Source organism: Homo sapiens, chromosome 19 (genome assembly GCF_000001405.40).
Source record: "Homo sapiens chromosome 19, GRCh38.p14 Primary Assembly".
NCBI lineage: Eukaryota > Metazoa > Chordata > Mammalia > Primates > Hominidae > Homo > Homo sapiens.
Window position 1 is genome coordinate 7,003,211 of NC_000019.10, and position 23,625 is coordinate 7,026,835.

General features: G+C 45.5%; 1 protein-coding gene, 1 long non-coding RNA gene and 1 pseudogene across 3 annotated transcripts; 1 reads left to right on the forward strand and 2 right to left on the reverse strand.

Annotated features, from left to right (window-relative positions):
• Positions 1-1,742: 1,742 nt before the first annotated feature.
• MARK2P21 (MARK2 pseudogene 21) lies at positions 1,743-3,205 on the reverse strand (annotated as a pseudogene). The gene has a single exon (NR_024372.1). The product of NR_024372.1 is annotated as an MARK2 pseudogene 21 (transcript).
• Positions 3,206-3,430: 225 nt separating this feature from the next.
• LOC112268245 (uncharacterized) lies at positions 3,431-10,397 on the forward strand. Its single transcript, XR_002958415.2, has 2 exons — positions 3,431-3,644; positions 8,027-10,397. It is a non-coding gene; the product is annotated as an uncharacterized LOC112268245 (long non-coding RNA).
• A 5,361-nt stretch (positions 10,398-15,758) lies between these two features.
• MBD3L2B (methyl-CpG binding domain protein 3 like 2B) lies at positions 15,759-18,221 on the reverse strand. Its single transcript, NM_001364674.2, has 2 exons — positions 18,143-18,221; positions 15,759-16,520 (listed from the first exon to the last, which is right to left on the reverse strand). The coding sequence occupies exons 1-2, from the start codon at positions 18,185-18,187 to the stop codon at positions 15,951-15,953; spliced, it is 615 nt and encodes a 204-aa protein (NP_001351603.1). The 5' UTR covers positions 18,188-18,221; the 3' UTR covers positions 15,759-15,950.
• Positions 18,222-23,625: the final 5,404 nt, after the last annotated feature.

Genomic DNA, 23,625 nt, shown 5'->3' on the forward strand with positions numbered 1-23,625 from the left:
CAGTGGCATGATCTCAGCTCACTGCAACCTCTGCCTCCTGGGTTCAAGTGATTCTCCTGCCTCAGCCTCCTGAGTAGCTGGGACTACAGGCGCACACCACCACTCCCAGCTAATTTTTGTATTTTTGGTAGAGACAGGGTTTCACCACGTTGGCCAGGATGGTCTCTACTTCTTGACTTTGTGCTCCTCCTGCCTCGGCCTCCCAAAGTTGCTGGGATTACAGGCGTGAGCCAACGCGCCCGGCTCATAAATGTTTTTCTTCAATCAGACAATAAAAGAGACATATAAATTTCCTCCCACTGATAACACCCTACTGATTTTAAAAGCACTCAAATAGTAGAGTGTTAAGATTATAGCTTGAAAATGTTTTTAAGGCTGAAATAACATCGTTAATGGACCAGGCACGGTGGCTCACACCTGTATTCCCAGCACTTTGGGAGACCAAGGTGGGCGGATCACCTGAGGTCAGGAGTTCAAGACCAGCCTGGTCAACATGGTGAAACCCTGTCTTTACTAAAAATACAAAAATTAGTTGGGCATGGTGGCGCATACCTGTAGTCCCAGGTACTTGGGAGGCTGAGGCAGGAGAATTGCTTGAACCTGGGAGGCGGAGATTGCAGTGAGCCGAGATCTTGCCACTGCACTCCAGCCTGGGTGTCAGAGTGAGACTCCATCTCAAAAAAAAAAAAAAAAAATATATATATATATACATATATATATAGAAATACAGAAATATATTTAAATATAAATATATATTACATTTAGTTAATGGTTCATTTTCTTCCCAGAAGTTGATTTTAAAAATATTGATGAATTTGCTTCCATTAAAACCAGGAAAGAGCTGGGCATGGTGGTGTGCACCTGTATTCTCAGCTACTCAGGAGGCTGAGGTGGGAGAATGGTTTGAGCCCAGGAGGTCAAGGCTGCAGTAAGCCCAGATCGCACAACTGCACTCTAGCCTGGGAGACAGAGCAAAAACGTGACTCCAAAAATAATAAAAAATAAATCTTACAAAAATTTAAAAACAAACAGGAAATTAGAGTTTTAATAATTTTGGTTTGGGGATACATAAAACATTTATACAATGCTTTAAATTCTAATACACTTTCCAATTTTTCAGTATTTTTTCAACTAATGCTCTGGGAGGATAAGCGTGTTGTACGTGGTCAATAAATATTTGAGTAAATGGATCTGTATTTTCTTGCATACCATAAATTATTCGGATTATAAGAGGGTAAATTTATTTCATGTTATATGTGTGGGATTACAGAGCCACGCAGTTTTTACTGCGTCTCCTTTCTCCCCCTAGTGGAGACAAATGATACCACAGGGATAACAGAACGGCAAGTGCAGTTTGATGATAGTAAGAAAAATCCCTGTTGTGGAGGTCACAGCTTTACCTACTTACCTTAAACACAGGAGTTTTCTGGCCAGGCGCGGTGGCTCACGCCTGTAATCCCAACACTTTAGGAGACCGAGGCGGGTGGATCACCTGAGGTCGAGAGTTTGAGGCCAGCCTGACCAAAATGGAGAATCTCCGTCTCTACTAAAAATACAGAATTAGCCAGGCATGGTGGCGCATGCCCGTAATCCCAGCTACCTGGGAGGCTGAAGCAGGAGAATCGCTTGAACCCGGGAGGCAAAGGTTGCAGTGAGCCAAGATCGTGCCACTGCACTCTAGCCTGAATGACAGAACCAGACTCTGTCAAAAAAAAAAAAAAGGAAACAGAGTTGGCTAAGGCGACTATATCTTATTTATTTATTTATTGACCTTTTTCCAGTACAAGTTTAATATTCATTAGAGGAGTTTTTTTCATGTGATGGGGGAGAATGGCGGCAAGTAGTAGGATCTGCTGAAGGCAGGAGCTTCACTGTGATGATGGCGCCCCACACCTCGGGTTTCCTGCAGCCCAGGATCTGATAGCCGGCCATGGTATCATCACATATTTTTTCAACAACGATGGGACATGGTCTGCCTCATCTCCCGGGGACACCAGGAGCGCTTTCCAGACTCCGGGTGATCGGGGAGCAGCTCCCAGTATGGCCTTAGTTAGCGTCTCCTCCTGGCCCATGTTAATCCATAGGCGCCCCATGATGAGGGCTAGTGAGGGCCTCTCCCTGGAGTCAACGGCCAGAATTGTGTTTATGAGGCATTCTCGTTCTATGGAAACAAGGAATGGGATCGCCTGTCACCATTCACACAGTATTAGTGTCGTCCTCAGCCCCACAAAAGTCTGCCCAACAGATGGCAGTCCTCGGCCACCATGGTGTAGACAGTGGCTCCCAGGCTCCACACGCCCACCAGGGTACATCGTACTTTTGTCCCGGGGAACAGTTCTGAGGCTGTATAAGAGGAGCTCCCACCGAAGGGGATCAGCTTTCAGCCTACGGTGAATCTGGTATCAAAGCCAGCGTCTGTTGTTTCCATGTCGTGCTGAGCCTCCTCAGGGAAGTTCTCTGACTTCAGATCCCTGTGGATAATTTCCTTCTGGAAGCCTCACTGCATGGAATATCCTATTTGCTGGAACTTGCCTCAGGCCTCTTCCCCCTTCAAGAAGAATTCGAGGGTGAAGTCGGATAGCTCTCCCGAGCTGGCTTAATCCATGACTAGGAACAGCCTGTTCTCGGTGCCAGCCACGTGGGTCTGATGATCTTCGGGTGATTAAGGGCCTTCATCATATGGTCCCTGCAGTACAGACCCTGGGGGCTGCAGGAGCCCTGCTGCCCTGTTGGGGTGACCTCCACAGCCATCTTGGTCCCAGTGAGAATGTGCTGGGCCAGCTGCCTTGACTTCTGCAAAGCTGCCCTGGCTGATGACCTTGAGGAGCCTATGATCATCAGTAAGGGACTCCTCGGAGGCAGAAGTGGTTCCAAGGCCCTGCAGCGTGGTGACCTCCCGGCTACACATCTCAGCTAGGAATGCCAACTGAGAATACTACCCCTACAAACTTTGCTAACCAGGAACACGAATGACACGGCTGGAGGTGTCTGCTGACATGTGAGGGTGGCCTCTGGTCACCTCCATGCCAGGGACAACGTTCGAGGCCAACTCTACCATGGCTGCACCCAGGAACCGGATGATGTCATCAGGAATCATCTCTCCCGGCCTCTTGGCCCTGCTGACTTCCCTCTGAGTTGATGTCATTCTCAGGTGGGCTCTTCCTCCAACGTGGCAAGATGGCACCCACAGCTCCAGCAGCCTAACGGAAATAGATCTTCTCCGCCCAGATGTTTCCAAGACAATGACCTGACCTTTGGCACTGAGTGTGTCACATGAGCAGGCCTTAGCCAATCACTGTGGACAAAGAAGATGGGATCAGCCCATTGGCCAGGTTGAGGTCATGTGGCCACTGTCTCTATGGAAACTTGGGAGATGCTTAACTGTTTTCAGTTGGGAGACTCTGTGGTGGCTGAGAGAGCAGGTTCAGGCTCGAAAGGTCACTACAACTGGATATGCAACTGCAGAAGAATGACTTTGGACGCCTACCTCACAGGATATATAAAAAATGAATGAAACAACAGCTAACAAGGGGCCAGAAAGTGCTAGTCTCCTGGAGTGTATGATACACAAAAATCAGATCAAAATCGATCAGTGTTATAAATGGAAACGTTGAAACTAGAAAGCTATTAGAAGCAAACAAAGGGTAATTTTTTATAACCCCATCTAAGGTCATGAAAACCCATAGTGATTTTAGAGATGACACCAAATTACAAGCAAAAAAACAAAAAGTAGATACATTTCAGTTCACTATTTTGTACACTCTATGAGTTTTAACAAATGTGTAATAACCTGTACCCATCATTATGTGTCATACAGAATGGTTTCGCTGCCCTGAAAATCCCCTGTACTCCACGGCCTTAGAGGTCTGGCGGTGTGAGCCTCGTCATTGATGTTTTGGGTGGTGGGGAATGTAGGTGTTTTTCAGTTACTATCCTCCGCTTTAGGGCAGAAAAGAGAGGAATTCCCCACCTAGCCCCAGGTTTTCATAAAACCATAAGTAATGAAGGAACCCAATACTGCAGGTGAAGAAATGAATCGTCAGGATATATTGATCCGTGGGATTATCATAGTAAAAATAGCTAAGAAATAAGGAAGGAGATCACATTTTAGAACCCAACAATGCAGCTTGAATTCTGCATGGATCTTGAGCTACTCATTTGGACTTTGTGAATTCAGTGTGAATGTTGCTTCCCAGGCAATGGGGGACGCATGCACTTGCCGGTGCTCGTGCACACGGGATTGGCGTGCAGATGTGTGCGGGCCGCACAGGGGATGTTCTGCAGCTGCCCTGGGCCCTGGGTGTGTGAGGCTGCCCCCCTGCCATGTTGAACTTTAAAGGGTGTGATGCCGGAATGTTGTTGGCTGAGTCCGGACTGGCATGAGCCCTTCTGATCCTGTTACCTCACACCTTGCCTGGCATCATCCCAAAAGGCGTTTGTGCAAATGGCTTATTGACACGGGCTTGGGACCAAATCCACCCAAGGGGAGGGGGTCCCTGGGGCCTTGCTATCTGTGGACTTGGATGAAATCATAGTGCCTGGGGGTGGAGAGGATGACCCTCAGATATGTTTTCCAACTCGTGTTTTTCTTCTAGATGCAGGACCCCAGATGCAGAGCCCCAGGGCATAGAGGATTCCAGATTCTTGCAGGGGACTGGAGGAGGCTCGGCTGAAAGGAGTCAGGGCTGCGAGGGTAGGGGACAGATTCGAGTAGTTTCTCCATTTCACAGCAATAATTACTGCCCCCCACCACACACACACACACACACACACACACACATGCACACACATGATATATGCATACACCTGTCTGTGCTGCAAGTTCCCCTTTTGCTCAGACTTAGGGTTTTGCAGACACTTCTAAGGAAACAAAGATGTTCCCTTTTATTTTTGTCTACTTGCTCCTGAAGCTTCCCCTCCATGTGTGCAATATGACTGATGCCAACTGCTTTCTTTCTTTCTTTTTTCTTTTCTTCTCTCTCTCTCTCTCTTTTTTTTTTTGAGACGGAATTTCACTCTTGTTGCCCAGGCTGGAGTGCAGTGGTGTGGTCTCGGCTCACTGCCACCTCTGCCTCCCGGGTTCAAGCGATTCTCCTGCCTCAGCCTCCTGAGTAGCTGGGATTACAGGTGCCCACCACCACACCAGGCTAATTTTTGTATTTTTAGTAGAGACAGGGTTTCACCATGTTGGCCAAGCTGGTCTCGAACTCGTGACCTCAGGTGATCAACCCGCTTCGGCCTCCCAAAGTGCTGGGATTACAGGCATGCGCCACTGCGTCCAGCCTATTTTTTACATTTTAAATCAGGCAATTATAATATATCAAACATCTATATTCCAATCACCCAGAATGGAGAATTACTGAATTTGGTTATATTCACTTTGAGTCTTTTAAAAATAACATTTTACAAACAAGTAGTCTCCCGTTGGCTCCCCAGACAATCCAATTTCTCTTCTCCCTGTTTCCCAGAGCAGGCAAATATCATTATTTATTCGGTGTATATACTTCTATTCTGAATTTCATACACATACATTATATACATCCAAATACATATTAATAACATTTAAGCATGTATTAATATACAAAACACATATATCCGTTAACATTACCTAGGATTGTTTAGTGCATTTACATTTTTACATATATACAAAATACGTATACTTATTATGTTTGATTCTATTTTTTGGTTAACTTGTTCTTTAAAGATGAATCTAGCTGGGCCCGAGGCAGGCAGATCACCTGAAGTCAGGAGTTCGAGACCAGTCTGGCCAACATGGTGAAACCCTGTCTCTACTAAAAATACAAAATTAGCCGGGTATGGTGGTGGGCGCCTGTAATCTCAGCTACTCGGGAGGCTGAGGCAGGAGAATTGCTTGAACCCAGGAGGCAGAGGTTGCAGAGAGCCAAGATGTGCCACTGCACTCCAGCCTGGGAGACAGAGCAAAACCATGTTAAAAAAAAAAAAAAAAAGAATCCTCTGGTCTTGGGAATCTAATGCCCTATATTATAATTCATAGCCAGACACAGAGTAATTACTTGTTTGCACCCAGCGTTCTAACCACAGGAAGGGAATGGGGGAAGTGGGTTTTTGCAAGAACCTGCTTTGAGGTGCACACCTCCACAGAGCTAAGCAATCTAGTCTGGGAGATAATACTCATACGTGTCCAGGAAATGAGGAACAACCAGATAGCACATAATTAAAACACCATATTTTATGATGCAGATCATTTAAGAAATGTGGGAGGCTGGATGCAGTGGCTCATGCCTGTAATCCCAGCACTTTGGGAGGCTGAGGCGAGTGGATCAAGAGGTCAGGAGTTCAAGACCAGCCTGGCCAACATGGTGAAACCCCGCCTCTACTAAAAATATAAAAATTAGCCAGGCGTGGTGGCGGGCACCCGCAATCCCAGCTACTCTGGAGGCTGAGGCAGGGGAATCACTTGAACCCGGGAGGCAGAGGTTGCTGTGAGCCGAGATCATGCCACTGCACTCCAGCCTGGGCAACAAGAGTGAAATTCCATCACACAAAAAGAAAGAAAAGGAAAAAAGAAAAGAAAAGAACAGGAAAGAAAGAAAGATGGGATGAGTCACACTGCACACTTGCAGAAGTTTCAGGAGCAAGATGACAAAAATTAAAGGGAACATCTTTGTTTCCTTAGAAGTGTCTGCAAAACCCTAAGTCTGAGCAAAGGGGGAACTTGCAGCACCAGACAGGTGTATGCATATATCATGTGTGAATATGTGTATGTGTGTGTGGTGGGGGGCGGTAATTATTGCTGTGAAATGGAGAAACTACTCAAATCTCTCCCCCACCCTCGCAGCCCTGACTCCTTTCAGCCGAGCCTCCTCCAGTCCCCTGTAAGAATCTGAAATCCTCTATGCCCTGGGGCTCTGCATCTGGGGTCCTGCATCTAGAAGAAAAACACGAGTTGGAAAACATATCTGAGGGTCATCCTCTCCACCCCCAGGCACTATGATTTCATCCAAGTCCACAGATAGCAAGGCCCCAGGGACCCCCTCCCCTTGGGTGGATTTGGTCCCAAGCCCGTGTCAATAAGCCATTTGCACAAACGCCTTTTGGGATGATGCCAGGCAAGGTGTGAGGTAACAGGATCAGAAGGGCTCATGCCAGTCCGGACTCAGCCAACAACATTCCGGCATCACACCCTTTAAAGTTCAACATGGCAGGGGGGCAGCCTCACACACCCAGGGCCCAGGGCAGCTGCAGAACATCCCCTGTGCGGCCCGCACACATCTGCACGCCAATCCCGTGTGCACGAGCACCGGCAAGTGCATGCGTCCCCCATTGCCTGGGAAGCAACATTCACACTGAATTCACAAAGTCCAAATGAGTAGCTCAAGATCCATGCAGAATTCAAGCTGCATTGTTGGGTTCTAAAATGTGATCTCCTTCCTTATTTCTTAGCTATTTTTACTATGATAATCCCACGGATCAATATATCCTGACGATTCATTTCTTCACCTGCAGTATTGGGTTCCTTCATTACTTATGGTTTTATGAAAACCTGGGGCTAGGTGGGGAATTCCTCTCTTTTCTGCCCTAAAGCGGAGGATAGTAACTGAAAAACACCTACATTCCCCACCACCCAAAACATCAATGACGAGGCTCACACCGCCAGACCTCTATCTAAAGCCGTGAAGTACAGGGGATTTTCAGGGCAGTGAAACCATTCTGTATGACACAGTAATGATGGGTACAGGTTATTACACATTTGTTAAAACTCATAGAGTGTACAAAATAAAGAGTGAACTGAAATGTATCTGCTTTTTTTCTTGTACTTTTGGTGTCATCTCTAAAATCACTATGGGTTTTTATGACCTAAGATATGGATCATAAAAAATTACCCTTTGTTTGCTTCTAAAAGCTTTCTAGTTTCAAGGTTTATGTTTACGACACTGATCGATTTTGAGTTGATTTTTGTGTATCATAACGTGCATTAGACTAGCACTTTCTGGCCCCTTGTTAACTGTTGTTTTCATTCATTTTTCTATATCCTGTGAGGTAGGTGTCCAAAGTCATTCTGCAGTTGGATATCCAGTTGTAGTGACCTTCCGAGTCTGAACCTGCTCTCTCAGCCATCACAGCGTCTCCCAACTGAGAACAGCTGAGCAGCTCCCAACTTTCCATGGAGACAGTGGCCACATGACCTCAACATGGCCAATCCGCAGATCCCATCCTCTTTGTCCACAGTGATTGGCTAAGGCCTGCTCATGTGACACACTCAGTGCCAAAGGTCAGGTTGTTGTCTTGGAAACATCCGGGAGAAGATCTATTTCAGTTAGGCTGCTGGGGCTGTGGGTGCCATCTTGTCACCTTGGAGGAAGAGCCCACCTGAGAACGACATCAACTCAGAGGGAAGTCAGCAGAGCCAAGAGGCCGGGAGAGGTGATTCCCGGTGACATCATCTGGCTCCTGGGTGCAGCCATGGTAGAGTTGGCCTCGAACGTTGTCCCTGGCATGGAGGTGACCAGAGGTCACCCTCACATGTCAGCAGACACCTCCAGCTGTGTCATTCTTGCTTCTTGTTGGCAAAGTTTGTAGGGGTAGTATTCTCAGTTGGCATTCCTAGCTGAGATGTGTAGCTGGGAGGTCACCACGCCGCAGGGCCTTGGGACCAGTTCTGCCTCCGAGGAGTCCCTTACTGATGATCATAGGCTCCTCAAGGTCATCAGCCAGGGCAGCTTTGCAGAAGTCAAGGCAGCTGGCCCAGCACATTCTCACTGGGACCAAGATGGCTGTGGAGGTCACCCCAACAGGGCAGCAGGGCTCCTGCAGCCCCCAGGATCTGTACTGCAGGGTCCATATGATGAAGGCCCTTAATCACCCGAAGATCATCAGACCCACGTGGCTGGCACCGAGAACAGGCTGTTCCTAGTCATGGATTAAGCCAGCTCGGGAGAGCTATCCGACTTCACCCTCCAATTCTCCTTGAAGGGGGAAGAGGCCTGAGGCAAGTTCCAGCAAATAGGATATTCCATGCAGTGAGGCTTCCAGAAGGAAATTATCCACAGGGATCTGAAGCCAGAGAACTTCCCTGAGGAGGCTCAGCACGACATGGAAACAACAGACTCTGGCTTTGATACCAGATTCACCGTAGGCTGAAAGCTGATCCCCTTCGGTGGGAGCTCCTCTTACGCAGCCTCGGAACTGTTCCCGGAGGCAAAAGTACGATGGACTCCGGTGGGCGTGTGGAGCCTGGGAGTCACTGTCTACACCATGGTGGCCGAGGACTGCCATCTGTTGGGCAGACTTTTGTGGGGCTGAGGAGGACACTAATACTCTGTGAACGATGACAGGAGATCCCGTTTCTCATTTCCATAGAACTAGAACGCCTCATAAACACAATTCTGGCCCTTGACTCCAGGGAGAGGCCCTCACTAGACCACATCATGGGGCGCCCATGCGTTAACATGGGTCAGGAGGAGACATAAATAAGGCCATACTGGGAGCTGCTCCCCGATCACCCGGCGTCTGGAAAGCTCTCGTGGTGTCCCCGGGAGATGAGGCCAACCACGTCCCATCCTTGTAGGAACAAAAATGTAGGAACAAAAATTTTTAGTAGAGACGGGGTTTCTCCATTTTGGTCAGGGTGGTCTCGAACTCCTGACCACAGGTGATCCACTCGCCTCGGCCTCCCAAAGTGCTGGGATTACAGGCGTGAACCACTGCGCCCGGCCCACAACATGGATTTTTCTTACTATAAACATCAAGCTACACTTGCCACAGTCTTTTACCGCTGTGGTCTCATTTGTCTCCACCAGAGGGAGAAAGGAGACTCAATAAAAACTGCATGGTTCTCGGCCGGGCATGGTGCCTCACGCCTGTAATCCCAGCACTTTGGGAGGCCGAGGCGGGTGGATCACTGACGTCAGGAGTTCGAGACCAGACCAGCCTGGCCAACATGGTGAAACCCTGTCTCTACAACTACTACTACTAATAATAATAATACAAAAATTAGCTGGACGTGGTGGTGTGCACCTGTGATCCCAGCTACTCGGGAGGCTGAGGCAGGAGAATCACTTGAACCCGGGAGGCAAAGGTTACAGTGATCCGAAATCACACCATTACACTCCAGCCTTGGGCAACACTCCATCTCAAAAAGAAAGAAAGAAAAAAACCTGCATGGTTCTCTATTCCCATAAATATACTGCAAAATAACTTTGCCCTCTTATAATCTGAGTGATTTATGATGTCCAAAAAAATAGATTCTTTCACTCAAGAAGTATTTATTGACCACCGACAACATGCCGTTTCCCCAGAACATTAAGGCAGTTCAAAAAATATTGAAAAATGGAAAAGTAAGCATATTGGAACATAAAACATTGTTTAAATATTTATCCCCAAACTATTAAAAATTTTAATTTCCTGCTCTCAAATGTTTGTAAAAACTTTTTTATTTTTTCATATTTTTGGAGTCAAGGTCTTGCTCTGTCACCCAGACTGGAGTGTAGTGGTACGATTACAGCTCACTGCAGCCTCGACCTCCTGGGCTCAAGCGATCCTCCCACCTCAGCCTCTGGAGTAGCTGGGATGCCAGCCAATCCACATACTGAATACCACTCTTTCAGGGCATGGGAAGTTTGCTGAGAAACAATTCCTTTTACATGACTGACAAAGGAGGAAATGATGTTTGTGTTTTGTGCTTCAGTTCCACATGTTGGTCAAAGAATAGATAATCTAAGATAGTGTTACTCACTCATCTTGTGGTTGGAAGTTGGCAACCAGAGTGATGAATTGTTGACTGCCAAGCCTTGTTTCTCTCCCACGTGGCCTCTTACACTCCAGCAGGTCAGCACTTTTTGACATCCAGTTAATTGTTGTTTCATTAAGTTTTGTATACCACATGAGGTAGGGGTCTAACTTCATTCTTTTTCATTTGGATATCCAGTTGTAAAAGCACCATTTGTTAAAAATACTGATTTTTCACTTTGGGAGGCTGAGGCTGGTGGATCACTTGAGATCAGGAGTCCAAGACCAGCCTGGTCAACATGGTGAAACCCCTTCTGTACTAAAAATACAAAAATTAGCCAGGCATGGTGGCATGCCCCTGTAATCCCAGCTACTCAGGAGGCTAAGGCACATGAATCGCTTGAACCCAAGAGGCGGAGGCTGCAGTGAGCCGAGACTGCGCCACTGCTCTCCAGCCTGGGTGACAGAGTGAGACTGTCTTTTCCCCATTGAATGGTCTTTGTGCACTTGTCAAAAACCAGTTAGCTATGGATATGGGTTTATTTCTGGACTCTCAATTCTACCCCATTGTTCCATGACCCTATCCTTATTTCAATATCACACCTGTGATTACAGAATTTTTGTATTAAGTTTGGTAATTGGAAAACATGGGTTTTCCAACTTTGTTTTTCTTTGACAAGATTGTTTCAAACCTTGAAATTCTACATATTAATAAATTATAGGATAGTTTCTCCATTTCTGCAAAAAGGGCCACTGGGATTTTGATAAGGATTTCATTGAATCTATACATTGCTTTGGATTGTGTTGTAATCTTAATTATTCTAAGTCCTCTGATCCATGAATATGGGATGTCTTTCCATATATTTAAGCTTTCTTCATTACTTTCAGCAATGTTTTCTAGTTTTTAGCACAAATCTCTCACCTTTTAAGTTAAATTCATACCTAGGTGCTCTACTCTTTTGGCTGTTACTATAAATAAAATTATTTCCTTAATTTTCTCTTTGGAGAATTCGTTTGAAGTATATAGAAACACAACTGAGTTTTGCATATTGATCTTGTACCCTGGAGCCTTAAAAATTTGCTCTAATCATTTTTTGTGGATTCTTTGAGATTGCTTGTGTATTGGATCTTGTCATCTGGGAATCAGGATAATTTTACTTCTTCCTTTCCAATTTGAATGCCTTTTATTTGCTTTTCTTGCCTAATTTTTCTAGCTAAAACTTTCAGAACAATGTTTAATAACGAAGTGAAAATGGGCTCCTTGTCTTCGTACTGGACTTAGAGGTGAAGCAGCCAGTCTTTTGCTATCAATTATGATGTTAGCTGTGGTTTCTGATTTATGTCCTCTATCATGTTAAGGAAGTTCCCTCTTATTATTTCTGAATGTGTTTTTATTAAAAAGTATTGGATTTGATCAAATGAACAGCTGCATTTTTTTAAAGCATGATTTTTTCTTCCTTTTATTTTTATTTTATTTATTTATTTATCTTTGAGACAGAGTCTCGCTCTGTCACCAGGCTGGAGTGCAGTGCAGTGGCATGATCTCAGCTCACTGCAACCTCTGCCTCCCAGATTGAAGCAATTCTCCTGCCTCAGCCTCCCGAATAGCTGGGACTACAGGCGAGTGCCACCACGCCCAGCCAATTTTTGTACTTTTAGTAGACACGGGGTTTCACCATGTTGGCCGGAATTGTCTCGATCTCTTGACCTCATGATCTGCCTGCCTCGGCCTCCTAAAGTGCTGGGATTACAGGCGTGAGCCACCCACCGCCTTCTTCCTTTTATTAATGTGGTAGATTACATTGATTGATTTAACTAAATTGAATGTCCTTTGCTTTCCTGGGGTATTTTCCATTTGGACATGGTATGTAATTTTTCAAATACGCTATTAGATTTGATTTGCTAGTATTTTATTGGAGATTTTTAATCTGTTATCTTAAAGGTATTGGTCTATAGTTTTCTTGTTATGTCTTTGTCTGGTGTGTTACCAGTGAAATGCTGGCCTCATAGAATAAGTTACAATGTGTTCCCTCCTTTTCTATTTTTTGGGGGATTTTAAAGGTTTGATCAGATTCACTAGTGAGGCCATCTAATTGTGAGCTTTTCTTTGTAGGACTGTTTTTATTACTAATTCAGCCTTTTTTCATATTATAGATCTATTCAAACTTTGTATTTTTTCTTGAATTTGCTTTGTTTTTTATTTTTGTTTTTGTTTTGAGACAAGGTCTCACTCTGTGGCCCAGGCTGGAGTGCAGTAGCGAGATCTTGGCTCACTGCAACCTCTGCCCCCTTGGTTCAAGCAATTCTTGTGCCTCAGCCACCGAGTAGCTGGGGTTACAGGTGTGCACCACCACGCCTGGCTATTTTTTGTATTTTTAGTAGAGATGGGGTTTCACCATGTTGCCAGGCTGGTCTCAAACTACTGGCCTCATGTGATCCGCCCACCTCAGCCTACCAAAGTGCTGGGATTACAGTCATGAGCCATCACACCCGGCCTTCTTGGATCTGTTTTAATAATTTGTGCATTTTAAGGAATTTGCTCATCTACATTACAGAATTTATTCATGTATACTTCATTATATTCTCCTTTTTTATTTCTGCAAGGTCAGTAATAATGTCTCCATGTTCATCTCTAATTTATTTATTTGCATTTGCCCTCTGTCATCGAGGACAGACTACCTAAAGGTTTGTCAGTTTGCCAATCTTGAAGAACCAACTTGTGGTGTCACTGATTTTCTCTGTGCTTTTTATATTCTCTATTTCATGTACATTCATTCTAATCTTTATTTCTTTCTGTCTGCCCACTTTTAATTTACTTTGCTATTCTTTTTGTAGTTCCTTGAGATTAAAAGTTAGATTATTAATTTGATACCTTTTTTCTTTTTTGAAGAAACTTGTTAAAGGTTTAAATTTGCGAGCAATGTTTCTACAGAATCTCACAGACATTGATATGTTGTGTTTCCAATTTCATTTCTCTCAAGATATTTTCTAATTTCACTTGTGCATTCTTTTTTGTTTTGTTTCGTTTTGTTTGAGATGGAGTCTCACTCTGTTGCCCAGGCTGTGGAGTGCAGTGGCGCAATCTTGGCTCACTGCAACCTCTACCTCCTGGGTTTATGCGATTCTCCTGCCTCAGCCCACCCCTGCCCCAAGTAGCTGGGATTATAGGCGCACGCCACCACGCCCGGCTAATTTTTGTACTTTTAATAGAGACGGGGTTTCACCATGTTGGCCAGGCTGGTCTTGAACTCCTGACCTCAGGTGATCCACCCGCCTCGGCCTCCCAAAGTGCTGGAATTACAGGCGTGAGCCACTGCGCCCAGCCGTGCATTCTTCTTTAAACCATTGGTTGTTTATGAGCCTGCTATTTAATTTCCACATATCTGAATTTCCCAGCATTCTTTTTATTGTGAATTTCTAGCTTCTTTCTAGAGCAATCTTGGAAGATACTTTGTATAGTTTCAGTTTTTTTTAATTTGCTGTGACCTGTCCCATGGCCTAACATATGGTCTATCCTGGAGAATGCTCCATTGCACTTGAGAGGGGCGACTGCTCCGCTGTTGGTAAATGCAGTGCTCTACGTAGGCTTTGCGTCCAAGTTGGTCTATAGTTTATTCAAATCCCCCCTTTCATGATTAATGCGCTGTCTGTTGGGTCTATGCATTATTGCAAGGGCCATATTGATGTCTCCAGCTTTTGTAAAACCATCTATTTTCCGCCTTAAATTTTGTTCATCTTTACTTCTTATATTTCTGGTCTCCATGGTTTCGTGAGTACATTGTCATAGTTTTGTTTCTTCTTACTGAATTGACACTTTTATCAGCATCTACAGTTGAACCTTGAACATCTTGGGGGTCCGGGCACTGACCCCACACCACCAGCAGTTGAAAATCCGCATATAGGCCGGGCACGGTGGCTCACGCCTGTAATCCCAGCACTTTGGGAGGCCGAAGTGGGCAGATCACCTGAGGTGAAGAGTTCGAGACCAGACTGGCTAACATGGCAAAACACTGTCTCTATTAAAAATACAAAAATTGGCCAGGCGTGGTGGTGGGCACTTGTAGTCCCAGCTACTTGGGAGGCTGAGGCAGAAGAATCGCTTGAACCCAGGAGGCGGAGGTTGAAGTGAGCTGAGATCGTGCCATTGCACTCCAGCCTGGTGACAGAGCAAGACTCTCTCTCTCAAAAAATAAATAAATAAATACATAATAAAATAAAGTTAAAAAAAGGAAAAATGTAACTACAAAACACTAAATGATCCTTCAGCATAGAATAATTTAATTACTTCTTGTTTGAAACATTATCTTTTGTAAAAACAAAAAAAAAATTACCTTTTGTATACAATGTTCACCATTTGGGTAACGAGTACCCTAGAAACCCAATCCGTACCATTCAGCAAAATATATTAATAAAATCAACAAATACATGTACCCCTGAATCTAAAAAATAAAAATGAAAATGTAATTTCAAAATAAAAATTTAATGTTAAAATCAGTGTACTTTATTAAATTATGTAATGTAATCATATCACTTAAAAAGTATATAATTTAATTTTATTTTTTAGAATTTCATTTAAGATTAAATTAGAATTTAGTAGGAAAACTAATTAACATCAGGCCAGGCACAGTGACTCACACCTGCAATCCCAGCACTTTGGGAGGCCAAAGCAGGCGGATCACCTGAGGTCGGGAGTTTGAGACCAGCCTGACCAACATGGTGAAACCCGCATCTCTACCAAAAATACAAAATTAGCCAGGTGTGGTGGTGGGCGCCTGTAATCCCAGCTACTCAGGAGGCTGAGGCAGGAGAATCGCTTGAACCCGGGAGGCAGGGGTTGCGGTGAGCCAAGATCGCGCCATTGCACTCCAGCCCGGGCAACAAGAGGGAAACTCTGTCTCAAAAAAAACAAGAAAAGAAAAGAAAAGAAAAGAAAAACTAATAAAAATCATGGTAAACGGACATTGAGGTGTACAATGACATATAAAGGTCTCCTTCTTTGCCTTACGAAACCCAATTTCTCGCCACAAAACCATCCACTCCTTACACTGTTGCCTTTCAAATGCTTTTAATAAAGAACTGGTGGGGAAGTACAAAGTGTGACAATTCATAGCAGGAAAGAGGACGGGCATTAAAAGATAGGGATTCAAAACCCAGGACTGTCCCCACTGACTCACCCCCCAACTGCGGGGCCACACCCCACAGCTTCTCAGCACCCCCTCCTCCTGCACTTCATCCACCTGTCACATTTCTGCCCGCCTGGCCAGCCTGTCTGCCTGCAAGGCCTTGGCCAGTCTCTCCCTGGCTTTCTTCACCCTCCTGGCCTGTCTCCGGATATCTGCAGGAGTCACCAATTGGCCAGAGAGGGGCGGTGGGAGCTGACAACCCATTCCTGGGGTTGGCCCCCCTGCCACAGCTGGAAACCGCCCAGGGGTGGGCTCAAGCGGGCTGCGCACACGCTCAGCACCAGCTCTGTCCAGAGATTCACCGGCCGTCCCCGGTGCAAGGATACTTAAGACGCTCTCCAAATGCAGTGGACTTGAACCTTCTCCTTGGCTGCTGCAGGGCTGCAGGGCCTGCAGTCTCCGGTAGGCGCAGAGTTGCTGCGGCTTCTCCAGGTGCTCGTCCCCTTTTCTGCGTCTGACCTGGTTGTCAGGATGAGACCTGATCCTTGTCACCGGCCTCCGGAAGATGCAGCTGGTGAGTCTCATGGGGAGAGCAGACCTCGCAGCTCGTCTCCGATGGGCCTTGGCCATGTGGATTTCTCGTTTCTTCTGTAAAGCCCAGGGCATCATGTTCCTTTTGAGCTTCCCCTTTCAAAAGAAAAGAAAATGTGAAATTTCAACCAAATGGAGACAGGAGAAGATCAGCTGTGGGGGGCTTCTCTCAGCTCAGTGGAATCTTCCCACCAGCCTCTCTTTCTGGGGAAATGTGTCTCAAATGGCAGTGTACATCCTCAGCACCTGCAGGGTTTGCTGAAGTCAGATATGTGGACCTGAACCCAAGTAAGTCTGGGGTGGAACCTAGAGTCTGCATTTCTCCGTGTGACCCTGATGCTGCTGGCAGGAGCTCCAGGCATTGACACTGGGTCCTGGGACCTCATCGGGCTGATGCGAGTCAAGGACTAAATGCTCAAGGTCATGACCCAGGGTCAGTTCCAGACCTTGTCCCTCCTCATCCTCCTCAGAGGACACCCCTCTCTTCTCTTCCCTGCCACTGTCAGCTACACAGATGCTGGTGCCTCCTAACCCATCCCCAACAGGACACCGGGATCCCAGACTTCCCTGTTCACCAAGACCTCACGCTTCTCTGTATCTCTTTCTGCTGTGCTTCAGGACACAACGTCATTTTCATAGCTCCTTGACTCTCTGGTTTCCAAAGAAATCGTGCACTCGCCACCTTAAATACTCACTGCCACACCCAGATCCCACCTTCACCTGAACACCTCCTGCTCATGAAGAAAAACCTCAGAAACACCATGTTGCTTTCTGTTTCTAATAAGCTCAATTAACTAGAGTTACACCATGAGAGAATCTTTTGATGACATACTGAGAAAGATGATTAAGCCCCTCCTAAGATTTGAAATCCTTTCTTGCTCTAAATCAATTGGAAGACTCTAGTCTCATAAAGCTGTTTCAGATACAAACATAAAGCCTTCATTTCTGTCCTTCTCATTTCATTTCTGTTGTCCTGGCATTAAGATTAATACTACCCCTTACACGACCCAAGGTGTTCCCCTTTGGAGGGAAAATTATTTAGTCTCCTTAGTTACAGGGCACTTATGATGTGCCAAGCTGTGCAGTAGAACCCCTGATCCAGAAGTAAACTGCAGAAATCACCACTCTGTTGATTTTCATCTTGGTGAGAAGGAAGACATAATAAACACACTAAAAACAAATTTCCGATAGGGTATCAGATATAATTAAGTTCCATGATGAAGAAGAAGGGAGAGACAGAGAGGGATGGAAGGAGGAGAAACAGAGAAACAGAAAAGAAAGAAATTCACTACAATGAATCATGACAGTGAGTTTAGGGAAGGACTAACCAATCATGATATTTAACCAGAGAACTAAAATTTTTTTTTAAAGGGACCAAGCAATTTCTGGTTCAAGAACTTTCCAGAGAGAGAGACAATTTGAAGACTGCAAGGCCAAGTAATACCTCTTTTCCTTCTTAGTGATGTTGTTGGACTTTTAAAAAATCAGGGCTATTATCCCCAGATAGCTCCGTGAACAAAAAATTAGAATATTGTTGAATATTTTGAATATTACTTGAGTATTACTCAACAAATATTAACACCTAGGGTATAAGTTTCCACGAGATAGCATCTAGTTTTGAGAACAACTTGCTAAACTGTGAAGATGTTTTACAGAAAGAAAAAGGAATACAAATGGACATTATTTTGGTCAATAGTCAATAAGGATCCCATACTCACCAGAACAGGCAGGCTTGGAAAAGAGGTGAACGCAGGTTCTCCCATAGCTGTAGAGTTCCTCCTGCTGACCCCACTCCTGAGGCACAGACAGCCCTTGGCTTGCCGGAAAATGCAGTGGCTTCTGCATCTAGCTCCTCTTTTATAGAGGGAGTGATAATGCAATCAGTGGATAATCCATAGGGAACGCCCTGTCTCCACCCATTGGATTTGAAGCATTTCTAAATCTTTATACAGAAACCAATATGGTGTTACCAACACAGAATGTCAGTAGAAAAAGAATTTAATCCGTGTGTGTGGCGGGGTGGTATTTACAGTTAATATCGGCATTTTAGATATGTTTCCTTTTCCTCCCATTCTCTCAAACATCTTTGAAAGCATTCTACGGAAATAAGAATGGAATTGTCGGCCGGGTGCGGTGGCTCAATCCTGTAATCCCAGCACTTTGAGAGGCCGAGTCGGGCGGATCACCTGAGGTCAGGAGTTCGAGACCAGCCTCAACATGGAGAAACCCCGTCTCTACTAAAAATACAAAATTAACTGGGCATGATGGTGCATGCCTGTAATCCCAGCTACCCGGGAGGCTGAGGCAGGAGAATGGTGTGAACTTGGGAGGCAAAGGTTGCAGTGAGCCGAGATAGTGCCACTACACTCCAGCCTGGGCGACAGAGTGAGACTCCATCTCAAAAAAAAAAAAAAAAAAAAAAAAAAAAAGAGAGAAGAAACAAAAAGAAAAACACCTAATAAATAAACAGACCTAATAAAAAAGAAATACAGTCTCAGCAGCCTTGGTCTATGCAGTGACTACTCAGTTTTTTCCTATTATTTTTCATGATGTTTTCATTGTATAAATCTTCCTGGTTTGATCTTTGAGGAGGCAGACAGATGCTGGCTATTTTACCAATTTGGACCTGGGGCTAGGAAGTTTAAGACACAATTAGCTTACGTATTTAATCACATTGTGGCAATTTCAATGCACCGATGCCTCCCCTGCAAACTCCAATATATAGACACAATATACCGCGCTCTAGCCTGGGCGACAGAGTGAGACTCCATCTAAAAAAAAAAAAAGAAAGATCTCCTATTAATGAAAATGCAGAGAGAAATGGGTGTTAGAAAATCATATTGGAAAAGATATTTGCATGATGTGCATCCAGTAAAGTACATCAAGCCAGAATACAGACTAGAAAGATGTCCATCAAATGAAAAAAAATACTAAAAATTGATGTGCAAAATGAGTGGAAAACTTCAGTAGGCACTATTGAAGAGAGAATAAATAAATGGTCAATACAATCCTGAACACATGCCCAAATTCTGTTTAGCTTCAGATAAACGCTGATGAAAAATCACTATGAGATACTCATATACACTTCTGTTTGGCTAAAATGAAAAAATAGCAATGCCAAGTGCAGACATGGCTATGGAGCAATCATACCATTCACGTGTAGCCAGTGAGAGTTTAAATGGGAAGAAATGTACTTTATTTGTATCCCAACCTGAACGTACATTGGAATCTCCTGGAGAGTTTGAAAAACTAATGGTAGCACACACCCCTACACATTTTTATTCCACTGATGTTGGATGCAGCCTAGGCTATAGGAATTTTACAATCCCCTAAAGACCAAAAGGACAGGCAAGGATGACACACCACTTCCCTGGTTGGTTTGGAGTCTGTGGTTTTGAACTTTGGTTTGCAGAAAACACACCTGGGAGTGTTTTCACACCTGGGTGCCTTCCAGACCAGTGTCTCCGGATGCCTACGGGAGGGGCCAGGAAATCAGAAATCATTTATTTATTTATTTATTTATTTAGAGTCTCCCTCTGTTGCCCAGGCTGGAGTGCAATGACGTGATCTCGGCTCACTGCAACCTCCACCTCCCGGGTTTAAGCAATTCTCCTGCCTCAGCCTCCCAAGTAGCTGGGTTTACAGGCCCAAGACACCACGCCCAGCTAATTTTTTTTTCTTGGAGACAGAGTCTTGCTCTGTTGCCCAGGCTGGAGTGCAATGACGTGATCTCGGCTCACTGCAACCTCCACCTGCCAGGTTCAAGCAGTTCTCCTGCCTCAGCCTTCCAAGTTCCAAGTAGCTGGGATTACAGGCGCCTGCCACCACATCCGGCTATTTTTTGTATTTTTTTTAGTAGAGACGAGGTATCACCACGTCGGCCAGGCTGGTCTCAAACTCCCGACCTCAGGTGATCCACCTGCCTCAGCCTCCCAAAGTGCTGGGATGACAGGCATGAGCCACCACGCCCAGCCACGCCCAGCTAATTTTTGTATTCTTGGTAGAGTCAGGGTTTCATCATGTTGGCCAGGCTGGTCTTGTCCTGACCTCAAGTGATCTGCCCACCTCAGCCTCCCAAACAGAATTTATTGTTATTATTATTTTTAAGAACTCCAAGTCCTGCCAGGGCAGGGTGGTTTACACCTGTTATCCCAGCACTCTGGGAGGCCGAGGCGGACAGATCATTTGAGGTCAGGAGTTTGTGACCAGCCTGGCCAACTTGGTGAAACCCCATCTCTACTAAAAATACAAAAATTAGGCCGGGTGTGGTGGCTCACGCCTGTAATCCTAGCACTTTAGGAGGCCGAGGTGGTTGGATCACTTGAGGTCAGGAGTTTAAGACCAGCCTGGCCAACATGGTGAAACCTCATCGCTACTAAAAATACAAAAATTAGCTGGGCGTGGTGGCAGGTGCCTGTAATCCCAGCTACTCAGGAGGCTGAGGCAGGATAATTGCTTGAACCCAGGGGGCAGAGGTTGCAGTGAGCCAAGATCGCACCAGTGCACTCCAGCCTGCACGACAGAGCAAGACTCTGTTTCGAAAAAAAAAAAAAATACAAAAGTTAGCTAGGCTTGGTGGTGGGCACCTGTAATAACAGTGACTCGAGAGGCTGAGGCAGGAGAATTGCTTGAATCCGGGAGGCGGAATTTGCAGTGAGCTGAGATCGCACCACTGCACTCCAGCCTGGGTGACAGAGCCAGATTCTATCTCAAAAAAAAAAAAAAAAAAAAAAAAAGGAACTCTAAGTCCTTCATTTCTAAGTCAAGAAGAGGACATTTCTGTCATTTCGGGGGTCTCAGATTTTGCAGCTCATTTGAATTTCACAGTAAAATTTAAAAGGACTGGTGTCTGGATCCCAGGCAGGATCATTTGCATCCATATAATGGAGTTTGCTGAGGTGCTGAGGGAGACATCAGTACCTTGAAATTGCCCTACAGGATTAAATCTGTAAGCTAATTGTGTCTTTTTTTTTTTTTTTAATTTGAGACGGAGTCTTGCTCTGTCGCCCAGGCTGGAGTGCAGTGGCGCGATCTCAGCTCACTGCAAGCTCTGTCTCCTGGGTTCACGCCATTCTCCTGCCTCAGCCTCCCGAGTAGCTGGGACTACAGGCCCCCACCACCACGCCCAGCTAATTTTTTTTGTATTTTTCAGTAGAGACGGGGTTTCACAGTGTTAGCCAGGACGGTCTCAGCTCCTGACCTCATGATCCTCCTGCTTTGGCCTCCCAAAGTGCTGGGATTACAGGCGTGAGCCACCGCACCCGGCCCTAATTGTGTCTTAAACTTCCTAGTCCCAGGTCCAAATTGGCAAAATAGCCAGTATTTCTCTGCATCCCCAAAGATCAAACCAGGAGGATTTACACAAGGAAAAGATTGTGAAAAATCATAAGAAAAAACTGAGTAGTCACTGCAGAGACCAAGGCTGCAGAAATTGTATTTTTTTTATCTGTTTATCTATTAGGTGTTGGGTGTTTGTTTGTTTGTTTTGAGACAAATTCTCACTCTCACCCCAGCTGGAGTGCAGTGGCGTGATCTCAGATCACTGCAACCTCCACCTCCCAGGTTCAAGGGATTCATGTACCTCAGCCTCCCAAGTAGCTGGGATTACAGGTGCCCACCACCATGCCTGGCTAATTTTTGTATTTTTAGTAGCAACAGGGTTTCATCATGTTGGCCAGGCTGGTCTCAAACTCCTGGCCTCAACCAATTCACCTGCCTCGGCCTCTCAAAGTGCTGCGATTAGAGGCGCGAGCCACTGCACCCAGGTGTGTGGGGGTTTTGTTTGTTTGATTGTTTGTTTGTTTTTTGAGACAGAGTCTCGCTCTGTTGCTCAGGCTGGAGTGCAGCGGCGCTATCTCGGCTCACTGCAAGCTCCACCTCCCAGGTTCACGCCATTCTCCTGCCTCAGCCTCCCAAGTAGCTGGGACTACAGGTGCCCCCCACCATACCCGGCTATTTTTTGTATTTTTAGTAGAGACAGGGTTTCACCGTGTTAGCCAGGATGGTCTTGATCTCCTGACCTCGTGATCCACCCGCCTTGGCCTCCCAAAGTGCTGGGATTACAGGCGTGAGCCACTGCGCCCAGCCTGTGTTGTTTTTAATTGTATGTATTTAAGGCATACATGATGTTTTGATGCACGTATATGTAGCGAAATGATTACTACAATGAAGCAAAGGAACATATCCGTCTCCTGATGTAATTACCTTTGTGTACGTGTGTGTAGAAAGAGTAGCTGAAATCTACTCTTTCGGCAAATTCCCAGTATACAAGGCGGTATTCCTGAGGTTGTTTTATGGGGTGGAAGTTTGCCACAGATTGGCCATAAGCGGGAGTTTATATCTCAGTCTCTTTTCCTCAATTGTTATTGCCATAGAACTTACATAGAGCAAAGTGCAAAAAATCAGACACATACATCTTCACGAACTTTCACAAACTGAACGCACTCATGCCCAGCACTGAAATCAATGAATAGAATAGCGGATTCATCCCCAGGTGCCTTTTCCTGCTACCCCATCCTGCCTCCCACAAAGGCACCCTCTGTTGTAACAGCACCTAGGATTAGTTTGGCTGGTTTTTGTTTCACGTGTAGGGAACCACATGGTATGCACTGTCTTGGGTTTGGATTAACCTCAGCTTTGAGAGATCAAGGCTTAAGGTTGTGCCGGTTGTCATTTGTGAGTTCTGATTGCTGTGAGAAGATCCGATGGGTGCAGATGCCCCAGTATTTATTCATTCTCCTGCTGTTCATTGGCTGGTTTCTGACAAGAGCTATTATGACTGCAGGTTCTGTGCCCCGCAGAACATGAAATTGGTGGGCACGCATGTACAATGTTGAGATAAATGCTGTGTGCAAGGGAAGAGGGTAGACGTTTATACGGCTTTTGGGGTTTGTTTGAGACGGAGTCTCGATCTGTTGCCCAGGCTGGAGTGTAGTGGCACGATCTCGGCTCACTGCAACCCTCGCCTCCCAGGTTCAAGCAATTCTCCCACCTCAGCCTCCCAACTAGCCGGGATTACAGGCACCCACCATCAGGCCTAGCTAATTTTTGTATTTTTGTGGAGATGGTGTTTCACCATGTTTGCCTGGCTGGTCTTGAATTCCTGATCTCAGGTGATCTGCCTGCCTCGGCCTCCCAAAGTGCTGGGATTACAAGCTTGAGCCACCGCCTGTTTGTTCTTTTGAGACAGTCTCTCTCTCAC